Genomic DNA, 23,907 nt, shown 5'->3' on the forward strand with positions numbered 1-23,907 from the left:
GGATCATGGACATAAATGTAGAGGGTAAAAAAATTAAGCTTCTAGGAGAAAACACAGATCCTATTTATGACCTTGGGATTAAATGGAACAGAGGGCACTAGCTATAAGAGAATGTTAAGTTGGACTTCATTAGGAACTTCTGTTCCTCAAAAGACACTACTGGGAGAGTTAAAAAGCAAGCCAAAAACTTGGAACATAGTTCAACACAATACTTAGATCTACAGTATAAAAAAATTCCTACAAATCACTAAGAAAAAAACCCCACATAGCCCAATTTTAAGAAACTGTACCCAAAACTCTTTTCACAATGAAGATAAACGAAGGGCAAAATGCATACGAAAAGGCAATTAAGTCATTATTCATCAAGGAAACGCACAAACTATAATCTGATGCTATTACACTCCCATGAGAATGACTTAAATTCAAAGGACTGGGTGGGGTGGGGGGAGTGGGGAGGGATAGCATTGGGAGATATACCTAATGCTAGATGACGAGTTAGTAAGTGCAGCGCACCAGCATGGCACATGTATACATATGTAACTAACCTGCACAATGTGCACATGTACCCTAAAACTTAAAGTATAATAAAAAAAAAAAAAAGTAAAAAAAAAAAAAAAAATTCAAAGGACTGTCAACACAAAGTAAGTACTCGATGATGTGGAGCATCTGGAACATTTTATGTTGTGGTGGGGGAGTTTAAGTCAGTACAACCACTTTGGAAAACTGGCAGTTTTTATCTAAAATTATATGCACATGACTCAGCAAATTCTACTCCTGAAAAATTCTACTCCCAGAACAAATGAGCATTTATATACACCAGAAGTTGTATATAAGAATTTTCACCAACCTGGGCAACACGGTGAAACCCTGTCTCTACTAAAAAGTACAAAAAGTAGCCGAGTGTGGTGGCGAGCACCTGTAGTCCCGGTTACTCAGGAGGCTGAAGTGAGATAATTGCTTGAACCTGGGAGGCAGACGTTGTGATGAGCCGAGATCACGCCACTACACTCTAGCCTGGTCGATAGAGTGAGACCCTGTCTCAGAAAAAGAAAAAAGAAGAATTTTCATAGTCGTTTTATCATAATAGCACAAACTGAAAATAGCCCAAATACCCATCGATAGGAGAATAAATAAATAAGTCGTAATATACTGTGTAATGCTAAACAGCAACTAACGAGCACTGCTGCTTTGGGCCAGGCATAGTGGCTCATGCCTGTAATCCCAGCTCTTTGGGAGGCCGAGGCAAGTGTATCACTTGAGATCAGGAGTTCGAGACTAGCCTGGTCAACATGGTGAAACCCTGTCTCTACTAAAAATACAAAAATTAGCCGGGTATGGTGGCGCATGCCTGTCGTCCCAGCTACTCAGGAGCCTGATGCAGGAGAATCACTTGAACCCAGGAGGCGAAGGTTGCAGTGGGCCGAGATCGCACCACTGCACTCCAGCCTGAGTGACAACGTGAGACTCTCAGAAAAAAAAAAAAGAACTACTGCTTTGCACAACATGCACGTATCTCCCAGACATCATGATCACAAGCCATGAATCCATTTAGGTAAGGTTAAATAGGGAAAATGAATTTCTGGTGAAAGAAGTAAAATAGTGATACCATTGTGGGGGAAATGCTGATTGTGGGAAGGCATGAAGAAGCCTTCTGAAATGCTAGAAATGGTCTGCAACTTGATTGAGCAGTAGTTACAAGGGTGTAGAAGTATGTCATAAACATATATCAAGCTCTACGTTTAGATGTGTTTACTTTGCTGCATGTGAGTTATACTTTGGGGGAAAAACTAAATAAACAAAAAAAGCGGGGGAAATGAAAAGAAAACGATCCTCATTTCCTGTAGCTGTAGAGAAATATATGCTGAAAAATCAGGCCCAGGATTCAACGGTAAGAGCAGCAAAACTGCAAAGGAGACTGAATGCACAGCCTCAAAAAGTCTATGCCGGGCTGGGCACGGTGGCTCATGCCTGTAATCTCAGCACTTTGGGAAGCCACGGCAGGCGGATCATGAGGTCAGGAGATCAAGACTATCTTGGCTAACACGGTGAAACCCCATCTCTAGTAAAAATACAAAAAAATTAGCCAGGTGTGGTGGCACGCACCTGTAGCCCCAGCTACTCAGGAGGCTGAGGCAGGAGAATTGCTTGAACTCGGGAGGCAGAGGTTGCAGTGAGCCAAGATCGTGCCACTGCACTCCAGCCTGGGCAAAAGAGTGAGACTCCATCTAAAAAAAAAAAAAAAAATTCTATGCCAAAGCTGAGGACTTGATAGGAAAAGTGATTTCCTGAAAGCTGACATAGTGACATTTGGGTAGATAACCTCAGCATCTGGAACCCACAAATTCCCCCGAATCTTCTGCCAGAAGAAGCCGTACTCTCCTTCTTGCTAGAGAGGAAAATTCCACAATCCCTGGAAGCTTTGCAGAAACCTCACCTGAGTCAGGTGTCTTGGAGGACAATGCTTTTTTTCTGTCCAAGATCTGCCACCACATCCTTCACTGCCTTAGGAATAGCAAGGGTCTAGAGGGAAAATGCATTTCCTACTCTAGAAGGAAATGGCTTACACAATCAAAACAATTACAGGACCAAAATAAGAAGTACTAGCAAGAATGGATGAACATGTATGAGAGTGAATCTCAAGGGTATTGAACCAGGAGAGTGATGAGGGGATAAAATATAAATCTGTGCAGTGGCCAGGTGTGGTGGCTCACACCTGTAATCCAGCACTTTGGGAGGCTGAGGCAGGAGGATCATTTGATGTGAGGAGTTCGAGACTGGTCTGGTCAACATGGTGAAATTCTGTCTCTACTAAAAATACAAAAAAAAAAAAAAAAATGAGCTGGGTGTGGTGGTGGGCACCTGTAATCCCAGCTCCTCAGGATGCTGAGGCATGAGAATCACTTGAACCTGGGAGGCAGAGGTTGTAGTGAGCTGAGATTGTGTTACTGCACTCCAGCCTAGCGACAGAGTGAGACTCCATCTCAAAAAAAAAAAAAAAAAACGGTGAAAAGCTTGTTGACACTGGAGCACTCTCCTATGACTTGGGGTTTAGCCTCCTGGAAAAAAAAATATGGAGTCATACTTTTTTATTTTTCTTTTTATTTTTTTGAGACAGGGTCTCACCCTGTCACCCAGGCTGGAGTGCAGAGGCGTGATCATGGCTCACTTCAACCTCCATCTCCTGGGCTCAAGCCACCCTCCTGCCTCAGCCCCCCAAGTAGCTGGGACCACAGGAGTGTACCACCATACCCAGCTAAACATTTTCTTATTTTTTGTGGAGACGGGATCTTGCCATGTTGCACAAGCTGGTCTTGAACTCCTGGACTCAAGCAATCCTCCTGGAATTATAGGTGTGAGCCACTGCATCCCACCAGAGTTACTCTAATATGCTGCTCTTGACTCTTGGCCATGTTGATGTCCTATGTAAATGAGGTGGAGAAGCCAGAACTACTTTGGCAGAATATTGAGGAGGGAGTAATAAGGCACATGGCAGTGAAAATGTTAAAACAAAAAAATATGTATTACACTTATTAAATATGATCAGAAAACCCACTATCTGATTATATTTCCCAGGAATCCCTGAAAGATATTTGCTTCACTAAAGCAGTAAGAAATGCACCAAGGAAGTTTGTACTGGGATCTTTCAGAAACTCAATGACACATTTCTTCTATACGTTGAAGAGATGCAGTCTTGAAACTGGCCTTCTAGTATCAATGGACGTAATAAGATTCTGGAATGGCAGAGGCCAGGGAGTGGCACCTAACAGAGGCAATACGGACATCACTGCTATAATAGATAGCAAGGCTGGAATGGCGATCAGAGTGGCTTGACCTACAGACATCTGTGGTGATGGTTAATAGATCATGCTGTTCCTAGGAGCAAGACAGATGGATACCCAATCAATCAGGATGTTACTTATTTACCTTATAAAATAAAACACAAAACAATTGAAGAGAAGACTGACATCGGCTGCAAAGTGGAAAAATATTGTGGTCTCTCACCCAGTTTTTAGCCAGTTCATAGGTGACAGCCTGTGATCAAAGAGGAGTATATGTCTCCTTGAGGAAGGACCATCTAAAACCTGCTCAAGTATGTACGATAAACATTCCCCCAATTATTCCCCAAAAGCTCTTGCAGCCATTTACTAAAAAAACCGTACACTGGGGAAAGGCATTTTCCAGGCATTTTGAGGACTATTACATAACAGGGTCTGAACTGCCACCAAAACAAGCAAACATAAAATGCCATCATAGACCACTGGGTAGAGAAAGGACGTATGGAGGCCAGGTAATAAATGCAGTTCTGGCCCTAGTCCTCGTTACTATGCGTATTAGTCCGTTTTCACGCTGCTGCTGAAGATGTACCCAAGACTGGGCAATTTACAAAAGAAAGAGATTTAATGACTTACAGTTCCACATGGCTGGGGAAGCCTCACAATCATGGCGGAAGGCACGAAGGAGCAAGTCACATTCCACATGGATGGCGGCAGGCAGAGAGAGAGACTGGGCAGGGAAACTCCCCCTTATAATACCGAAGAATCTCATGAGACTTATTCGCTATCACGAGAACAGCATGGGAAAGACCTGCCCCCATGATTCAATTACCTCCCACCGAGTCCCTCCCACAACACGTGGGAATTCAAGATGAGATTTGGGTGGGGACACAGAGAAGCCATATCACTGTGAGTCCAAAAATTCTACAAAATAGAATCCTGAAGAATAGGAAATAACCTATTCTGTGGCTATATCCCCAGTTCTCATATGTGAAGTTTGAATGGACACACTTAACAGCTGGCCAAATTTTTACAGCCCCTGACCTATTGTCAAAAGTTATTGACCTATTACCAAAAGTTATTATGGTAAGAGTAGCTAGAAAATAACCCTGAAAAACGCCTCCTGCCACCAAAGTGCCAAGATAGCAAATCAGAAACACATCCCAAGAGGAATTCTGGGAATAAGCACAACTCAGATATTTAAAGGATGCAGACGTGTTGGTTTCCATCACATCCCTGTTTAATTTACCTATATGACTCCTGCAAATACCAGATAGATCATGATGGCTAATAGTGACATATTTTTTTCATTTTCATTTTAGCCACCCTCAGTCCCCCAACCAGGGTCCCCATCTTCCCTCCCCATCCCTGCTTAACCTCACTCAGAGCAGCCAAGCCCTCAGTCCCCAGCCCCAACTCTCAGCTTTCCTCCCTCATGACTTTGGGATCTGCATGGCTGTCCTTTCACACATCCCAGCAGCTTTTGATGCCAAGAACTCCATCACTGCTCCTTGATGCTTCTCCCTTTTCCACCGCTAGGACACCACCCTTACCTGGTTCACCTCCTACTTGGGCATCCAGAGTATTTGTCACTTTCTTGTGTTCTCTGCCATCTTTGAGATGTTAGGAGCCCCAGGGCTCAGTCTCAGGCCTTGTTCTCCACTGTGTTCTGGGGAGACGTCATCCTCTCTCCCAGCTTCAGTGCCTCCATCCCCCACCACACATTGATGCTTCCTGGACCATCTTTGTCTTTAGCCCATAAGATGCTTCTAGGTCCCTGCCCCCAGGGTCCAGCCCCCTCAGAGTGAACATGTCCCAAACCTGCCTTTGTACCTTCCCTGTGTATCTGCTCCTCCTAGTTGCCTAGACTTGAGCCCCATTCTCTACGGCCTGGACCATGCCCATCCTCCTTCGAGGCCTCCCCACCCTCAGTCTTCCCCTCTGGTCCAGACCTCTCGCCAGCCCCTAAGGAATATTCCAGATACACAGATCTGTCTGACACCCTCCTTACTGGCACTTGGAGGTCTTCACAGTCCCACATTTTCCTTTCCCAAATCTCACCCATGCATGGGAGGCTTCGTGGGTCAGAGCACAGTTTTGCAAGGTTCAGCTCTAAGACCATCTCCTCCAAGGAGCCTTCCCTTTCTCCTCCCACGTGAGTGCCCCTCCCCAGTTCCTCATTCCACCAGGTCCTGACCATACCCTGCTGGCAGTGTCTATACCCCGCTCTGTCACTCCCACACCTCCTCTGATGCTGGGCCAGCCATGTGGAACAGGTGGTAGGGACAGATGAATGAATGAATGAATGAATGAATGAATGAATGGAGTGAATGACGGAAAGTGGTCCGGAGGCAGGGGCTCAGAGCAAGGAGAGGGATAGACCAGTCTTCAGAGGAGCTCCCCTAGCCCTTGAAGTCCCTGCCGCCACCTGAAGTAATGGTGATATATTAAATTTAACCACCTGGTTAAATTTAACCACCTGAATGTAGCATCTTGAATAAAAAAAATCAACACAAGCTCTAGCACATGGTGTATAGCTCTTGATCTTACAAACATGTTCTTTTCAATATCTCACTATAAAGATCAAAAAACTTTACTTTTACATGAGAAAGTCAGAAGTACATTTTACTATCTTGACCCAGGGTCAATAAACTCTTCTGCTTTCTTCATAATACGGTCCACAAAATTCTTGATGATCTCAATATTTTCTAGGAAATCAAGTGGGTCCACTATGATATCATACTACATTGACTTGGTGAATAAAAAGGGACAAGTTAGCCGGGCATGGTTGTGTGCACCTGTAATCTCAGCTACTTGGGAGGCTGAGGTGAGAGGTCACTTGAGCCTGGGAGACTGAGGCTGCAGTGAGCCATGATCGTGCTACAGCACTGCAGCCTGGGAGACAGAGCAAGACCCTGTCTCAAAAAAAAAAAAAAAAAAAGAAAGTGACACGTACTCTGGATGCCCAAGTAGGACCCATGTATGCCAGAGGATGGCAGATAAATACTATAAAGGTTTTGGAGGTCCAATATTCTGAGAAGTCATGGATAGTCCTAAGGAACAGGAAAACTTGTTGCACCTTACACATCTACCACTAAGAAAGAGGCACAGAGCTTGGTGGGCCTGTTTAGATTTCGGCATATACTGAATTTGGGAATATTGTTCCAACCCATTTATTAAGTGATTCAAAGGCTGCCAGCTTTGAGTGGGTCCAAAAGGAAGAGAAGACACATCAGCAGTTTTAGGCCACTTGGGTCATATGCTAACTATGAATCAATGATGTTAGAGGCATCCTTGATATTTAATAATTTAAGGATATTGTAGGTTGCTGGCAAACTTTAATAGAAGAGTTACAATCCAGATTCTGACAGAATGTGATCCTTCTGGGGGCAGAGAAGGTGATGTTTGTCATTTGGAAAGCAACTTCAGGTGTGCTACTAGGCCCTAAGAGAGACTGAGCTTCTGACATGGGACACCAAATGACTGTGTGACCAGAGCTACCCATCATGGATATAACAGCCATTAAACTATATATTCAGATGAGTGAAGCAGCAATTCCTTATAAAATGTAAATGGTGCACACAAAATAAAGTCCAGCATGTCCATGGACCACAAGCAAATTACATAAGCAGGTGACCCAAGCTCCATTGTCTCTTATTTCTTTTTCTTTTCTTTTTTTTTTTTTTAAACTGAGTTTCACTCTGTTGCCCAGGCCAGATCATGCAATGGTGCAATCTCGGCTCACTGCAACCTCTGCCTCCTGGGTTCAGGCGATTCTTCTGCCTCAGCCTCCTAAGTAGCTGGGATTACGGGAGCCCACCACCATGCCCAGCTAATTTTTGTATTTTTATTAGAGACAGGGTTTCACCATGTTGGCCAGGCTGGTCTCGAACTCCTGACCTCAGGTGATCCACCTGCCCCAGCCTCCCAAAGTGCTAGGATTACAGGCATGAGCCACCGCGCCCAGGCCCATGTCTCTATTTCTATTGCAACAATGCCTCACTTTGCACCTATGACCAACTGATGGGGGAAGATATGACTTAGGCTTGGTTGTCAGATGGGTCACTCAGGATGTTGTTGTGAGCCACGAACGGACTGCTGGAACACACAACTCTACCCAAGAATGGTGCAAAAGGAGAGCAGTAAGGGAAAAATCCGTCCAGAGGCACAGCTATGTGTGCTAATGAAATTTAGCATTTTCTTTAATTATATAGGTAGACAATAAACCACAGTAATACTGACATTGTGATGAATAGAAATCATAAATATTTTCATTTTACATTATTACTTATGGCTATCACTATTTTGAAACTGTCATAGTGATGATATCTTGTTATTTAATTCATTAAGGTAAACATTTACTGTATATTAATATAAGTTGTTTCTTTTGTAATTCTATATATTTTATCTTATGCCTTTAAGAATGTTATTTTGAGAGAGTTTTATTAAATGGTCATATTTAACAGAAAAGATCAATACAAGCTCTGGCACACAATGTATAACTTGATCTTCCAAACATGTTCTTTTCGGCCGGGCGTGGTGGCTCATGCCTGTTATCCCAGCACTTTGGGAGGCCGAGGCAGGTGGATCACCTGAGGTCGGGAGTTCAAGACCAGCCTGACCAACACGGTGAAACCCCTTCTCTACTAAAAAGAAAATACAAAGTTAGCCAGGAGTGGTGGTGCATGCCTGTAATCCCAGCTACTCAGGAGGCTAAGGCAGGAGAATCACTTGAACCTGGGAGGCGGAGGTTACAGTGAGCCAAGATCAAGCCACTGCACTCCAGCCTGAGCAACAAGAGTGAAACTGCATCTCAAAAAAACAAAAAACAAAAACAAAAACCATGTTCTTTTTGATATCAATTATAAAGAGGGTTCACTAAGTGGTTAAGTTTAATATATCACCATTAGCCATCAAGATCCATCTGGTTTTTGCAGACTGCTAAAGGAGTCATAGCACAAACATAGTTGAGAACCCTGTCCCAAAGAAACTCACACAGAGGTGCCTAGGCATATGCAGGGATGTTTAGGCCAATGTTGTCTATCACTGACGGGAGTTGGTGGTAAACTATGTGTTGTTCATCATTAGAATGAATAAGTTAAATGCTGAAGTTTATCCCACATTATGAAATACTATACATGTACATCTAAAACATGAATTCATCTTAAAATGATACCATCGACTAAAAACAAAAAGAATACAGCAAGATCTATAGCACGGTGTAATTCATGAGTATGTAAAACTTGCACATATAAAACACTATCTACATATATTTTATATGTATATATTTAAAAAATATATACATGTTCAAGGATATGTTATTAATGGCATCGCATTCTAGAGCAGCAGCCCAAGACTGGGAGTAGGTATAGGACAATAGAACTGGAAGAGGATATTGGAAAACACACACACAAAAAAATTATAACATATCAGCAGCACCTTAAATGAAACAGTGATAATTGTGTGTCATTAACCAAGAAGTATGTGTAGTCCATCTCTCTGATCCAAGGCCAAACAAATAAACCAAAAAACTCTACCATGAACAGAATGCAAAGGCAATTCTTTTTTTTTTTTTCTTTTTGAGATGGGGTCTCACTCCATTGCCCAGGCTAGAGTGCAGTGGCGAGATCACAGCTCACTGCAGCCTCAACCTTCTGGGGTTCAAGCAATCCTCCTGCCTCAGCCTCCCTCCCAAATAGCTGGGATCACAGGTGCACACCACCACCTCCAGCTATTTTTTTTGTTTTTATTTTTAGTAGAGATGAGGACGCATTATGTTGCCCAGACTAATCTCAAACTCCTGGACTCAAGTGATCCTCCTGCCTCAGCCTCCCAAACTGCTTGGATTACAGGCATGAGCCACCACACCTGGCCACAAAGGCAAATTTAAAACTATGGAAAATATTTAAAAAACAAAAACAAAACAAACAGGCCAGGCACGGTGGCTCAGACCTATAATTCCAGCACTTTGGGAAGCCGAGGAAGACAGATGGCTTGAGTTCACAAGTTTGAGACAAGCCTGGATGACGTAGGGAAACCTTGTCTCTACTAAAAATACAAAAATTAGCCAGGCGTGGTGGCACACACCTTTAGTCCCAGCTACTTGGGAGGCTGAAGCAGGAAGATCATTTGAGCCCAGGAGATGGAGGTTGCGGTAAGCTGAGATCACACCACTGCACTCCAGCCTGGGCGACAGAGAGAAACCCTGTCTCAAAAAAAAAAAGTGTGTGGGGGGACTATTATCTTTAATATACAAGATTTTATCAATTAATAAGAAAAATAAATATTTTAAAGTAAAAAACTCAAAGCAGGTAATTAATAAGACATGAATACCTGACAAGAAAATGTTTAGATGCACAAGTAAAAATAAAATATCAGGTATTATCAAGGGAGAGGAAAATCTAACCTCTTAAACACTGCTCGTGGGAAAAAAATGTGGTACAAACTTTCTGGAGGAGAATTTAGCATACATTAAAAATGCCATAAAAATCTGCTCTAAAAACCTACAAATCTTTGGCATAGCATTTTCAGGTCTAGAAATAGATCTTAAGGAAATTTTAAAAGTACACAGATATTTAGTTACAAGGATGTTATGGTGAAATTGTTTCTCACTACTTAAATGTGGGGCAAAAGTGATTAGATATTGGCAAAGGAAATTGTGACATATTCATATAAAACAGGATAGTATCACTGAAGTAGTATAATAAGATGGGAATGTGTTTGAAATATAGCAAAGTGGGCTGGGCGTGGTGGCTCACGCCTGTAATCCTAGCACTTTGGGAGGCCGAGGCAGGCAGATCACAAGGTCAGGAGATTGAGACCATCCTGGCTAACATGGTGAAACCCCGTCTCTACTAAAAATACAAAAAATTAGCCGGGTGTGGTGGCGGGCACCTGTAGTCCCAGCTACTTGGGAGGCTGAGGCAGGAGAATGGCATGAACCCAGGAGGCGGAGCTTGCAGTGAGCTGAGATAGCACCACTGCACTCCAGCCTGGGCGACAGGGCGAGACTCTGCCTCAAAAAATAAATAAATAAATAAATAATAAAAAATAAAATATAGCAAAGTGAAAAACAAAATTTACAAAGTATGACTCATTTTGTGATTTAACACTTTAATAGCATTTTTCTTTTCTTTTCTTTTTCTTTTTTGAGGCAGAGCCTCGCTTTGTTGCCTAGGCTGGAGTCCAGTGATGCGATCACAGCTAACTGCAGCCTCCACCTCCCGGGTTCAAGCAATCCTACCACTTCAGCTTCCTGAGTAGCTGGGACTACAGGTGCGTACCACCACACCCGGATAATTTTTGTATTTTTTGTAGAGAAGAGGTTTCCTTATGTTGCCCAGGCTGGTCTCAAATTCCTGGGCTCAAGCGATCCATCCACCTTGGTCTCCCAAAGTACTGGGATTACAGGTGTGAGCCAGTGAGCCACCATTCCCAGCCCTTTCCTAGCATTTTTAATCATAAAAGTTTCACATTCACTTAAAAAATCTGGATAATAAAGGTCAAAGAACACAAAAGTCACCCACAATTTCACCAACCAGATATATAATGTATTTTATATAAATGAGAATCTAATGTTAACAAATGGAATAAAACATACTCTTTGGGAACCCAAATGTCAAATTTAATTTCTAATCCAAATGTTCACAAAGGAGTAGTTTTTGAAAAGAGCAAATTATGCAGAAAAGCATAGAGATGTAAGTTGGGTAAATTTTCCAAATTCTGATCAGGAAACAAATCTGACTAGAAAGAGGTGGGAACAAGAGCCACCTATACCGAACATCTGTTGACCTTTTACTAAACACTACAAGGCCTGAGGCATAAAATTTTGATAAAATTTATGATAAACTGCTAGGAGAGCACAAGTTAAAATTCAAAGCTGGGGTTCTGAAGACAGGCTGCCTGGGGTTGAATCACTGCTCCACTACTCACAAGCTCTATGTGACTGGGCAATTTAATCTCTCTCAGGTTCCTCAGAATGGGGATGATACAACCCTACCTTTTGGGATGTAATACACGTCAAGCACTCTGAACCATACTTGGTTCTTAATAAGCATGCAGTAAATGTTAGATATGGGTCTTGCAAACATCAGTGCAGCAATGGCACCACATCCTTAAAGAGCAATCTGAAGCCCTGCACATCAATGTGGATTGAATAAAGGACAGGATGAAGCTGCACACATGCCACATGCCTTTCCTTCAGCTTTGGTTCAGCAGTCTTGTGTAATACAAGTACAAATCCTTATGGCTACTATTAGAACCATTAGAACTGAGAATGACTGCCCTCCTGGGTAGCTTGTATGTGCAGACATAACATTTAAAAATCAGTATACAATCAAACTCTTATGGGGTTAACACTCACCTCTCCTTCCGGATTCTTAGAATCAGATTGCAACATTTGTTATACTCAGTACACTGTTAGAATATTGGCCTATAAAGATATGTAAGGCTTGGTATCCATCTTCTCAGAATTTAAAATCACTTAAGAGGATGATGTCAAAATACCTAAGATAACTAGGTGATTCTAGTATATTAGTTTTCTATTGCTTCTGTTAACAAAATAACCACAAATTTAGTGGCTTAAACAAAATACACTTATTATCTTACAGTTTGGGAGGTTAGGAGTCTGAAATGAAACTCATTGGGTTAAAATCAAGGAAGCAGCAGGGCTGCATATGTTCTGGAGGCTTGGAAGGTATCTGTTTCCTTGCCTCTTTTTTTTTTTTTTTTTTTTTTGAGATGGAGTTTCACTCTTGGCACCCAGGCTGGAGTGCAATGGCACGATCTCAGCTCACTGCAACCCCTGCCTCCCAGGTTCAAGTGATTCTCCTGCCTCAGCCTCCAAAGTAGCTGAGATTACAGGCACATGCCACCATGCCCAGTGAATTTTTGTATTTTTAGTAGAGATGGGGTTTCACCACATTGTTCAGGCTGGTCTTGAACTCCTGACCTCAGGCGATCCTGCCCGCCTCTGCCTCCCAAAGTGCTGGGATTACAGGCGTGAGCCACCGCGCCCAGCCTTTCCTTGCCTTTTGCAGCTTCTACAGGCCACCCACATTCCTTGGCTTGTGGCCCCCTTCAAAGCCAGCAATGTTGTGCTCAGTGCCCCCCATGCTGCATCTTTCTGATTCTGTCTTCTGCCTCCCTCTTAAGTTTTAAGAACTCTTGTGACTACATTAGGGAGCTTGGATAATTCAGGATAATCTCCCTACCTTAAGATCAGCTGATTAGCAACTCTGGCTTGATCTGCAACCTTAATTTCTCTTTACCATGTAAGCTAACATATGCACAGGTTCTGGGAAACAGGAGGTGGACATCTTTGGGGACTGCTATAGACTGAATGTTTCTATCCCCCAAAATCCATATATTTATCAAAACCTAACCCCCCAATGTGATGGTATTAGGAGGTGGAGCCTTTGGGAGGTGATTAGGTCATGAGGGCAAAGCTCTCATGAATGGGATAAAAAGGGAGCCAGAGAGCTCCCTTGTTCCTTCTGTCATATGAGGACACAGTAAGAAGATGCCTATGAAACAGAAGGTGTGCAGTCATCACTGGCTGAATCTGCCAGTGCCTTAATGTTGGACTTCCCAGCTTCCAGAACCGCAAGAAAGAAATTTCTGTTTACAATCCACTCAGTCTATACTATTTTTGTTATGACAGCCCAAATAAACTATGATCAGCCATCACTCTGCATAGTTCACCTAGTAAATTACAAAGACCAAGTAAGATAAATAAACGGTACATGAAGATTCCGTGGAGTTTAATGTCACTGCAGCTGAGGATGGTCAGGAAAGGCTGAAAGAAAAAGGTAGATTTACTCTGGCCGTTAAAGGAGAGATTCAGTTTTAAAAGCTGAACACGGGGGGAGAAGGAGTATTCAGGTGAGAGAAGGTGTAAGGACAACGCCTGGAAAATGTAAGGCGTGCAGTGGGGACAAAGAGTAGAATATTTTGGCTGAAGAATAGGTTCACAAAAGAAGGAAGAAGTGTGAACGGGAGCCAGAATAAGAAGGGCTGGGGAGTTTGATCTCTATTCTTTTTCAAAACTAACTGACCCCAGAATGGTTTGAAACTTTATAATGTATTTATTGGAGGACCATTAGAAATTAAAAGCTTTGGCCGGGTGTGGTGGCTCACGCCTGTAATCCCAGCACTTTGAGAGGCTGAGGCGGGTGGATCACGAGGTCAGGAGATTGAGATCATCCTGGCTAACACAGTGAAACCCCATCTCTACTAAAAATACAAAAATTACCTGGGCATGGTGGTGCGCGCCTGTCGTCCCAGCTACTCGGGAGGTTGAAGCAGGAGAATCGCTTAAATCAGGGAGGCAGAGGTTGCAGTGAGCTGAGATTGCGCCACTGCACTCCAGCCTGGGTGACAGAGTGAGATTCCATCTCAGAAAAAAAAAAAAAAAAAAAGGAAATTAAAAGCTTTTGAGTATAACATCTTGATGAAACACCATCAGAAGATCAATAGATACGGTGCCTGCCTGGATTAAAGCAAGCAGCCAAAAATGTCCCCTCAGATAAATGATCAAAATTTGTTTTTTCTCCAGTTTTAACACACCTAACCCACAGAAAAATCAAAACACTTACTTTAGTAAGAACAAATTAAAGATAATGCTAAATCTCACCCATTTCACACTTTTATTATACAAAACAACATGCAAAAACATTTTTACATGAGGAGGGGATCTCTTTCCCCATAATGTGACCACCTGATATTAACAGTAATGTTGCAGGTCAGGTTCTTATATCAGGCACTACCTCAGGTCTACTCCTTCATTTTGCTTTCACTGCTGTATAGTATAAAAATTGCATTTCACAAGGTTCATTGTAGCAAAGGGAAAAAGCAAAAAGCATATTTTGCAATATTTAAGTACTTTTGAAATAGGCTGTTCCAAAAATTACTGTAATATTTTCAATAGCTCATTTCCAGAATGTTAATTTGAGTTTATATTACTTTTTTTTGAAAAATGTATTGTGTATAATAGTAAACAAAACAAACAAAAAACCCTAAATGTCTAATTGTACAAAAAGGAAAAGCGTAAACAGCAAGTTTCCCTTTCTCCTACCCCTGAGCTATAATATCTTAGTTCACCTCCCCAGAGACCCGCTGCTCTCTGTGTCTCAGGTGTCCTTGCAGAGAGACTATCTTTACACTCAAATGGGAGCACACACCATAAACACCACTCTGGGCCTTGTTTCTGTCACTTTCTTCCCAGCTCTTTATAAACTACTGGTGCCATTGTTCAGCTTCACTTTAAAGTATTCAGAGCTCTGCATTTGGATTCAGGCACAATGTAAGAAACCCAAGAAGGATTTTCTTTGAAAATTGGCTTCTTTCAGCCACAAATTCATGGGGAATGAGTGTGGCTACAAAAGTTTAATTTATAATAGAAATAGAATAACATCATAAACGTGTGGTAGAAGGAAGAGGAAAACACTACTGCCACCAAATCAGGAAAAAAGAACTAGTGAGTTAAAACAATCTAATCAAGTTTGAAGCTTATGCCCAGATAATAGATTCCACAGAAGGAGGTGCTTAAAAGGAGGGGTACAAACAAGCCATCTTAACATTCTTCTATGAAGAACAGTGAAAGTATTCAGTAGGGACTCTCTTTCTGTAACGGCCTAAGTCTTTTTTTTCTTTTTTTTTTTTTTTCTGAGATGGAGTCTCACTCTGTCACCCAGGCTGGAGTGCAGTGGCGTGATCTCGGCTCATTGCAGCCTCCGCCTCCCAGGTTCAAGCAATTCTCCCGCCTCAGCCTCCTGAGTAGCTGGGATTACAGGTGCCTGCCACCACACCTGGCTAATTTTTGTATTTTTAGTAGAGATGGAGTTTGACCATGTTGGCCAGGATGGTCTTGATCTCCTGACCTCATGATCTGCCCGCTTCAGCCTCCCAAAGTGCTGGGATTACAGGCGTGAGCCACTGTGCCCGGCCAACGGCCTAAGTTAATTTGCCTTCTCTTTTGACGCTCAAGAGAAAGTCTGATGTGGTGAAATTCCTTTGTGAAATTGCTCCAGCTCTTCATCAAGGAAATTTGCATAGGGCTGTACAGCCTGCTGGGCTAGTGTTGGAGAGATGGAAAAGATAAGGAGGCCAGGGAAAAGAAGGACTGTCCCCCCTCATCTATTCCAAGATTCCCAAGAAGAAGGTGCTATGGTTTGACTGTCTCCTGTAAAACTCTTGTTGACGTTTCACCGCCATTGTGATGGTGTCAAGAAGTGATTAGGGGATGAATGGATTCGTGCTGTCATCACCAGAGTGGGTTCCTAATAAAAAGCTAGTTCATCCCCCTCTGCTCTTGCTCTGTTGCGCACTCTTGCTCTTCTACTTCCCACCATAGGGGGAGACAGCACAAAGGCTTTCACCAGATGCTGGCACCAGGCTGCTAGATTTCCCAGCCTCCAGAACTATGAGCCAGATAAATTTCTGTACATCATAAATTACCAAGACTGTGGTAATGTGTTGTAGCAACATAAGACAGACTAAGACAGAAGGGTACCCAAACAGTGGAGAGGGCCAGTAGGTGACCCCAGGCATAGCCTGGAATGGTAGGAAAGACAAACGGCATAGGGGGAACACTCCAGAGAGAACAAATGCAAGAGGCAGCTCCCCAGTAACTAACAGATTTGCCTATGGAGTCAGTTGCATTTGAATCAGCACACCACGGTATACTGATCTGGAATGAGTTACTCTCTCTGTGACTCAGTTTCCTCATCTATGATATGAGGCTAAATACTGCCTCCCTAAGAAGACTATAAGCATTAAATGAAAAAATATGGGCCAGGTGCAGTGGCTCATGGCTGTAATCCCAGTACTTTGGGAGGCTGAGGCGAGCAGATCACCTGAGGTCACAAGTTCAAGACCAGCCTAGCCAACCTGGTGAAACCCCATCTCTACTAAAAACACAAAAATCAGCTGGGCATGGTGACACATGCCTGTAGTCCCAGCTACTTGGGAGGCTGAAGCAGGAGAATCGCTTGAATCTGGGAGGCAAAGGCTGCAGTGAAAAAAAAAAAAAAGAAAAGAAAAAATATGTATTAAGAAAAAGCTTAGAATGATGCCTGGCATATTGTGAGTACTCAATAAATGTTTGCCCCATGGATTACAGCAGCGGTCTTCAAAATGGGCTAAGGCCTACCTGGCTTTAGGCACCTGCCCCCTTGCTTTTTCTCAACCATGCCAGGAATCCTCCTGCCTCAAATTCTTTGTATGTGCAGCTTCCTAGGTCCCAAATGCTCTTCCCGTTATCTGCATGACTGGCTCCCTCACCACTCCAGGTCCTGCTCAGATGTCACCTTCATAGTGGGATCTTCCATTACCACCGAGAAGTACTCTCTCTTCCTCCTTCTGTTTTTTCTTTCTCCATACCACGTCACCATCTTATAAGTCATATTTTTCTATTTTTGAGACAGGGTCTGGCTCTGTCACCCAGGCTGGAGTGCAGTGGCAAGATCTCAACACACTGTGGCCTTAACCTCCCAGGTTCCAGTGATTCTCCTACCTCAGCCTCCCAAATAGCTGGGACTACAGGTGCATACCACCACACCTGGCTAATTTTTGTATGTTTTTGGTAGAGATGGGGTCTTGCCATATTGCCCAGGCTGGTCTCCAACTCCTGAGCTCAAGCAATCTACCTGCCTTGGCCTCCCAAAGTGCTAGGATTACAGGCATGAGCCACCGTGGCCAGCCTTAAATTGTCTACCCACCCATCACTCCCTCTTCCCTATCAATAACACATAAGCTCTGTGAGGGCAGGTATTTTGTTTACTGATATATTTCTAATACTCAGAGAGCACTAGCATACTGCAGGTGCTCAATAAATATTCACTGAATCAACAAATGACTATTTCACAATATAGCCATTCTCCTGTTTAGGTACATTTAGACACATATATTGCTTCCAATTTTGGCTGTTACAAACAATGATGTGATGGACATTTTTGTATATATGTCCTTGTGCACATGTGCGTTTATCTAGAAGTGGAACTACTGTATGATGGATTAGGCACATCTTTAATTTACTAGTTATTACCAATCCACTCTCCAAAGTGGTACTTATTTGTATTCCCACCTGCAAGGTATGTGACTCCTGTTTCACCTTGACATTACTTAACATTATCAGATTTAATTTTTTGCCAGTGTAAGACATGGTATTTCATTTTAGTTTTAATTGGCATTGACCTAGTTACTAGTGAGTTTGAACATCTTTTGTGTGTTTATTGGTCATTTTGACTTCTTCCCTGTGAATTGCCTGCTCATATTTTTTTGCCAGCATTTTTAATATATTCTGGATATCAATATTTTATCAGTTTTATGTGCAGCACGTATCTTCTACAGTGTTTATCATTGTCTCTTATAACTTTTTTTTTTTTGAGATGGAGTCTCACTCTGTCGCCCAGGCTGGAGTGCAGTGGCATGATCTCGGCTCACTGCAACCTCTGCCTCCCGGGCTCAAGTGATTCTCCTGCCTCAGCCTCCCGAGTAGCTGGGATTACAGGCACGTGCCACTACGCTCAGCTAATTTTTGTATTTTTAGTAGAGACAAGGTTTCACCACGTTGGCCAGGCTGGTCTCAAACTCCTGACCTCAGGTGATCCACCTCCCTTGGCCTCCCAAAGTGTTGGGATTACAGGCGTGAGCCACCACGCCTGGCCAATTGTCTCTTATAACTTTTTAAAAGTGGTTTTTTGATGCACAGAAGTTAGTTTCATTTCTTAAAGACAAATTATCCCATGTTAATTACATCTTAAAGGTGCTTAGAATTTTTCTTACATATATAGATTTAAAAATATATTTTGGAAAAACTACTCAGGCATTTATTTTTCAGCAAGATCTTTTACTATCTTATAGAATACATGTCTTCCATGCACAGATTTGGGGACATCCTTCTCTAAAAAAGAGGGATGGACAGGAGAGTTTTTAGGGTGTTTTTTTGTTTGCTTAAAGTTTATTTTTAGAGACAAGGTCTCACTATATTACCCAGGCTGGCCTCGAACTCCTGACTCAGGCAATTCTCCCACCTCATCCTCCCAGGTAGGTGGGAGTCCAGGCATATGGCACCACACTGTGGCTCAGGATAGGAGGTTTCTGAGCAGAGTACAGACATGATGGAAGCAGAGTATAGGAGCAGAGAATACTTCTTATTGTTCTCTTAATGTTTTATGTGGGGGATTTTGCCTCCACCATCTTGAGCTTATATAGTTGTTTAAAAAATCTTGACTGATTTACACAACAGTGGAACTTATTCCATTTGAAGGTTTCGTTTTATCCAAACATTAGAGGAGGCTGAAGTCATTCTGCATACTACTCCACCAAGAGCCTAGGAAATCCCTCTACTGAAATACATTACTTCATATATGAAAGGCTTAATGTTGTTGTAATGTTCTGGTTATTACAAAAGATTTAAGATCTGAAATGAAGTAATGGGATCCAGGCAGATATGTTCATTTTTGTTTACCTAAATGCCTGATGATTGTCAATGGATTATTAAACGCCTAAACTTTAGCATGACATAGTAGGCCATGAGCCCATAGTTCCTTCCCTCAGATTGTCAAGGAAACACTCTAGACTCCTTATCAAGTTTGATCCTTTAAAGATAGGAAAGTTAAGAGGCTGCTTCTTGAAACTCAATTCTGATCCTCTTTTTTCCTTCTCAATTACAGTCTCAGGTGGACATGTTGATAATTTAAATGATGTTTAATTTCTTCACTGATTCCAACCTTTTATTTCTTTTGACTTCTACTTATCTCAACACAATTCTACATCCTAGATTGCTAGAGTTAATAGTAAGGTTGTCTGGGCATTGTTAGCCAAGTAACATAACTTATTCAGATCAACAAAAAATGTGCTATGAGAACATAAACTAATTTAACTTCAATAAAGAATATTACCTTTTCAAATATCATATTATTAATAATGTTTTAATGAAAGAAAGTACTGAATAATTTATAAGTAATCAAACTAAGACAACATGAGAAATTACTCTAATTACTCATATTACTCTAATTACTCTAAATTACTACAAACTAAGGCAATATGAGAGAAAACTAAAGACAATTTTAAAGCATTCAACATAAATGTCTATAACTCCACATGTGTATAAAGGAAAAATAATTTTATGATAAATTACCTGATGAACAATCAGGAACAATGGTTTGTTTCACTAAGAAATGCTTGCTTTAATTTTATCACCGTCCTATAAATGCTCTATTTTATGTAATAAGGTAGCATCAATTATTTCCGTCTGCTAATAGATTTAGCTATTAAGAGAGTCATTATAGCCTGGACGCAGTAATTCCAGCACTTTGGAAGGCCAAAGCAGGAGCATTGCTTGAGGCCGGGAGTTCGAGACCAGCCTGTGCAACATAGTGAGACCCTGTCTCTATAAAGAATTAAAAAATTAGCCAGGCATGGTGGCAGCACCTATGGTCCCAGCTACTCAGGAGGCTGAAGTGACAGGATCACTTGAGCCTAGGAGGTTGCAGCTGCACTGAGCCGTGATCATGCCACTGCACTCCAGCCTGAACCACTGAGCGAGACCTGTCTCTTAAAATAAAAAAAAAGAAAACAAACCAAAGAGTAAGAGTGATGGCCCTAGTGAATAATACTGTGTCTTTTTTCACCATATCTAATAACACATCTTTCTAAAACTTGATTGAGACTATTCACCAGAAATTATAAATTGTAAACTTCACTACTGACAGTTGGCAAAGGATACACGGAAGAATTCAATTCTTCTAGCTGCAAAACAAAGAAACAAATTTATTTTTAATTTGTATAAAATAAATATAAATCGACGGTGATCTCGCCACTGCACTACAGCCTGGGAGACAGAGTGTGACCCCATCTCAAAAAATAAATAAATAGGCCAGGCACGGTGGCTCATGCCTGTAATCCCAGCACTTTCGGAGGCCAAGGCAGGTGGATCATGAGGTTAGGAGTTCGAGACCAGCCTGGCTAAGATGGTGAAACCCATCTCTACTAAAAAATACAAAAATTAGCTGGGCATGGTGGTGGGTGCCTGTAATCCCAGCTACTCGGGAGGCTGAGGCAGGAGAATCACTTGAACCCGGGAGGCAGAGGTTGCAGTGAGCCGAGATCACACCACTGCACTCTAGCCTGGACGACAGAGCAAGACTCTGTCTCAAAAAAAATAAATAAATAAAAATAAACAAAAAATAAATAGAGAGATTCATTATAGACCATAAAAAGATGGTAAATTAATTTTAACACTGTAGAACTTCTTACTCCAAAAACATGTCTGGTTCTTCGAATTTCTCTTTATCGTTTGCTAGTGTGTAATATGCTCTCTTTTTTTTAATCATTTTGCTAATTTGTGAAAAAATGTTGTTTTATTTAGCAGGAAACAAATTCTGTCTCACAAGTTGGGGCCTAGTCTCTGTTAGGTCAGACTGGAAGAACAGTAAGGGCACTCCCACATTCCAGGGAGAGAGTAAATGATAACTGGCAGGGACGTGGAATCTCTGTAAAGCACATATGGGAATTCTTAGATAGGAAGTGTACTCTAAACAGAGTCCTCTTGAGAAAATCTCCGATGGAAAATTGAAAAATTTAACAATTACTGAATTACCATCAGCATTCCAAGAACATTTTTCTTTTTTCAGACCCTACTAAATGAATCAACCTTGCAAAACTGGAAAATAAAACTAAAATATTTAATATAAAAATACATATTCCTTTCTTTTCTTTTCTTCTTCTTCTTTTTTTTTTTTTTAAGACGGAGTTTCACTCTTGTTGCCCAGGCTGGAGTGCAATGGCGTGATCTCAGCCCACTGCAACCTTCACCCCCTGGGTTCATGCGATTCTCCTGCCTCAGCCTCCCAAGTAGCTGGAATTACAGGCACCCACCACCACACCCAGCTAATTTTTTGTATTTTTAGTAGAGATGGGGTTTCACTGTGTTGGCCAGGCTGGTCTCAAACTTCTGACCTCAGGTGATCTGTCCACCTTGGCCTCCCAAAGTGCTGGGATTACAGGTGTGAGCCACCACACCTGGCCAAAAACACATATTCCTTTTCTATACTGTTTCAATTTATCATTCTTCCAGTGATAAATTGAAAAAGTAACATTTATCACTTTGTTGGTATAGTAAATTTATAAGTGACATCAAGATTTAGGAAGAGCTTCAAAGCATGTAGAAGAAGAGAAAGTCAAGGTTTTATAAGAAAATGTATAAATAAAATATTGGGGAAGTGTGCAGGGAGAAAACAATAAAATTTTTGGCAGCCGTGACTGAAAATACGCAAGGTGACATACATAAGATGGTACTGACAGGAAGAAGGAAAATAGGAAAAGATCTGAAAATCACAAATGTACCTAATTGTTTCAAAAGGCTGTACTAGAGAATACATGAATGACATTACAGCTTAAAGGGAATGTAGGGTGATCCTCCCTTTCAGAATTGGCCAAACAAATCCCTAGTTATTGTTCTTGCTATATGAGGAAAACACTAAGATCCTGTTTACCTTCTTTTGGTCTAGTGTAGATTTCTCTCCTACCTGGTCTGAAGCTCACACTAGTAGTGCCACCCCTTCAGATTACATAATACATATGGGCCATTGGCCCAGAAGGATACAATTGCACCCAGTGATGGTGAAAACCCTTCCTCTCCTTAGCATGAATTATCTTGTCAGATCACACAATCGCTCTTGGATTCAGGCCCTCCCTCTCTCCCTGCTCCCTCTCTCCCTTCTGCTGAGTGCCTATTTCTTTTAGGCAGTAACTTAGACTCCGTGTATCTAAAAATGAATAGAATATAGTCTTTTTCCTTTAGGAGCTCACTATCTGGAAGAAAATACCAATAGGGAAACAATTAAATACAATGCAACACAATACATTTTTCTACTACAATTGGCAAAGGTTGAAATGAAAAATAATATCCAGTATTAGCTAGAATTTGAGGAAACAGAGCACTGAATAGGTAACAATTTTTCTGGAGGAAAATTTAGTACTATGTACCAAAAGCCCTTTAAAAAATAAAGTGAATGCAGTTTGCTTCAGACACTCTACATCACTAAGAATTATCTAATAAAACAATCAGACAATTGTGACCATCATGGGCAATATAGGAAGACCCCATCTCTAAGAAACATATTTTGAAAAGTAGCCAGGCATGGTGGGGTGTACCTGTAGGCCCAACTACTTGGGAGGCTGAGGAGGGAGGATTACTTGAGCCCAGCAGTTCAAGGCCACAGTGGGCTTTGATCACACTAGTGCACTCCAGCCAGGGCGACAAAGTGAGAACCAGTGTCTAAACATAATAATAATTATTGGACAAATTTGCAAAGATGTTCGCACAAATATATCTATTGTAGCATTGGTTGTAATAGTGAAAATGCCACAGTGAATCCCTGAGTGTCCAGTAATAGGTGATTATATGCTACATCCATACAACAGAATACAATTATCACCATCAAGAAGGCTACAGATTTATACGTATCAAGTAAAAAATATGCCTTTGACACATATATGAGCAAAAAAAGGTTACAAAACATAAAATAGATGCGATGAAAATGGTACTTTTCCTCTGTGGTCTTTCTCCCCAAAACCTATCACCCCAGTCTAACTATGGGAAAAACATCAGAAAAGTAAATTCCAATAAAGGGGCATCCTACAATATCCCTGACCAGTACTCTTCAAAATTTCCAAGTTCTCTGTAATTAGTCTGTTTTCACACTGCTATAAAGAAATACCTGAGACTGGGTAATTTATAAAGGAAAGAGGTTTAATGGATTCACAATTCCACATGGCTGGGGAGGCCTCAGGAAACTTACAATCACGGCCAAAGGGGAAGCAAGGCACCTTCACAAGGCAGCAGGATGGAGTGAGTGTGAGAGTCCAGGAAAAGCTACCATTTATAAAACTATCAGATCTCCTGAGAATTCACTCATTATCATGAGAACAGCATGGGGGAAACTGACCCCATAATCCAATCACTTCCCTCCCTCAACACACGGGGATTACAATTCGAGATGAGATTTGGAGGGGGACACGGAGCCAAATCATATCAGTCATCAACACAGGAAACCCTAGAAACTGTCACAACCAAGAGGTCTCTAAGGAGATATGACAACAAAAAGTAATGTGGTATCCTGGATGGGAT

General features: G+C 41.7%; 1 long non-coding RNA gene across 3 annotated transcripts in view; it reads right to left on the bottom strand.

The window, feature by feature from the left end:
* The window catches only part of CCDC28A-AS1 (CCDC28A antisense RNA 1), a 48,489-nt gene that overhangs the window by 10,888 nt on the left and 13,694 nt on the right, over positions 1–23,907 (bottom strand). The window contains exon 3 of one of the 3 annotated variants that reach the window (NR_161203.1): positions 14,026–14,167. The exons of the other annotated variants lie outside the window; for them this stretch is intronic. This is a non-coding gene — a long non-coding RNA (CCDC28A antisense RNA 1). The remainder of the gene's footprint in view (positions 1–14,025; positions 14,168–23,907) is intronic. 3 annotated transcript variants of the gene reach the window in all.

Source organism: Homo sapiens, chromosome 6 (genome assembly GCF_000001405.40).
Source record: "Homo sapiens chromosome 6, GRCh38.p14 Primary Assembly".
Taxonomy (NCBI): domain Eukaryota; kingdom Metazoa; phylum Chordata; class Mammalia; order Primates; family Hominidae; genus Homo; species Homo sapiens.